The sequence below is a fragment of the Homo sapiens genome, chromosome 10 (genome assembly GCF_000001405.40).
Source record: "Homo sapiens chromosome 10, GRCh38.p14 Primary Assembly".
Taxonomy (NCBI): domain Eukaryota; kingdom Metazoa; phylum Chordata; class Mammalia; order Primates; family Hominidae; genus Homo; species Homo sapiens.
In genome coordinates this window covers 50,726,259-50,728,572 of record NC_000010.11, presented here as the reverse complement: position 1 = coordinate 50,728,572, position 2,314 = coordinate 50,726,259, and the positions used below count along the sequence as shown (strand labels likewise).

The 2,314-nt window shown below is 40.0% G+C and overlaps 1 pseudogene; it reads left to right on the top strand.

Annotated features, from left to right (window-relative positions):
* On the top strand, positions 580 to 1,928 carry PGGT1BP1 (protein geranylgeranyltransferase type I subunit beta pseudogene 1; annotated as a pseudogene).
* The last annotated feature ends 386 nt before the right edge of the window (positions 1,929 to 2,314 follow it).

The window sequence follows — 2,314 nt, the reverse complement described above, 5'->3', positions numbered from 1 at the left end:
TCACAGTGTTAGCCAGGATGGTCTCGATCTCCTGACCTCACGACCTGCCCGCCTCGGCCTCCCAAATCTACTCTTTTTTATATTTCTCTGCTCTTATTCACACTTGAACCCTATCTAATGAGTGTCTTATCGCTACCACATTCCTGAAACCACACTGTCAATGACCAAATCACTAAATCCAATGGTCAATTTTCCATACTCATGTTGCTTGAATTATCAGCAACTTTTTTTTTTTTCTTTTTGGAGACAAGATCTTGCTCTGTCACTCAGGCTGGAGGGCAGTGGCTCACTGCAGCTTCAACCTCCTGGATTCAAATGGTCCTTCCACCTCATCCTCCCAAGTAGCAACAGCATTTCATACAGTTGATGACTCTCTCCTTATTGACAAAAATATCCTCATTGTATTTTCAGTTGACAACGCTCTCCAGGTTTTCCTTCTACCTAGCTTCTTAATCTCCTTTGCAGGTACTTCATCCTGTCTAATCTCTAAACCTTGGGGTAAAAAGGTTTCAGTACTCAGGTGTACGTTTTTTCTCTATCTAAACTCACTCCATCTCTTAATAACATCATCTAGGTCGAGGCGGACGTCGCTTCCGGAGCAGCATGGAAGCCACTGAGGATGAGAGGCTAGCAGGGAGCGGTGAGGGAGAGCGGCTGGATTTCTTGCGGGATCTGCACGTGCGATTTTTCCAGCGCTGCCTTGAGGATTTGCCGGAGCGCTATTCTTCACTCGAGACAAGCAGGTCCTTCCCACAGAAGGCAGATGAAATCTAAATCGCTGTGGTTTCCGAGGCTCTTCATACCTGGGTATTCCTTTCAATCCATCAAAGGCTCCTGGAACAGCTCATCCTTATGATAGTGGCCACATTGCAATGACCTACACTGGCCTTTCATGCTTAGTTATTCTTGGAGACGACTTAAGCCGAGTAAATAAAGAAGCTTGCTTAGCAGGCTTGAGAGCCCTTCAGCTGGAAGATGGGAGTTTTTGTGCAGTACCTGAAGGCAGTGAAAATGATATGCGATTTTTGTACTGTGCTTCCTGTATTTGCTATATGCTCAATAACCAGTCAGGCATGGATATGAAAAAAGCCATCTCCTATATTAAAAGAAGTATGTCCTATGACAATGGACTGGCACAGGGAGCTGGACTTGAATCTCATGGAGGATCTACTTTTTGTGGCATTGCCTCACTATGTCTGATGGGTAAACTAGAAGTTTTTTCAGAAAAAGAATTGAACACGATAAAGAGGTGGTGTATAATGGGGCAACAAAATAGTTATCATGGAAGACCTAATAAGCCTGTAGACACCCGTTATTCTTTTTGGGTGGGAGCAACTCTAAAGCTTCTAAAAATTTTCCAATACACTAACTTTGAGAAAAATAGAAATTCCATCTTATCAACTCAAGATCGCCTCGTAGGGGGATTTGCCAAGTGGCCAGTCATCCAGGTGCTTTGCATGCATACTTTGGGATCTGTGGCCTGTCACTAACAGAGGAAAGTAGAATTTGTAAAGTTCATCCTACTCTGAATGTAAGCACACGGACTTCTGAATGCCTTCTAGATCTCCATCAAAGTTGGAAAACCAAGGACTCTCAAACAATGCTCAGAGAATGTACATATCTCCACATAACTGATTTTAGATTGGGAGGGTGGGGGGATTTGTAGCATAACTGTAGCTCAAGTTTAAAAGCCATGTATAACCAAGTGTGCTCTTTTTTTAAAAGGTAGAGTCTTACAATCAAATCTCCTGCTGAGGTCACTTTGGGATATGGTCTTGAGCCAGTAATCTTTGTACTGGGTTTCAAGAAAATCTGTGTTGAAGTTTGAACCACAACTTTGTCATGGTTCTTAAATGTTTATACTGTATTTCTAAGAAGTTGTTTGAGGCAAATTAACTGTATGTGTGTAGGTTATCTTTTTAAAAACTCTTCAGTGCAAATTGTATCTTGTTATAAAATGGACACAAATCTTCAAAACAAATTTACCTTCATATAGCATTGATAATCCTCAGGTGAACACTTAGTAATCATTTAAAAAGCTCACTGCTGATGGTAGAAAATTTGCTTTAATGAATTAAGTATCTGGGATTATTCTTTGAAAACAGATGACCATAATTTTTTTAAAGAAGAGTGATTTATTTTGTCTTATTTTTAAGTAAAGTGTGCCAATTAAACCTCTGTGGCCTATATAAATGAAATTAATAACTTCATAGTAAGAATAAATAGGTTTAACTAATGTGATAGTTTTCTAAAAGGAGATTGTTTGAAGACAACTATTATGTAACTGAGGGAAAAGCAACTAACTATATGTGAT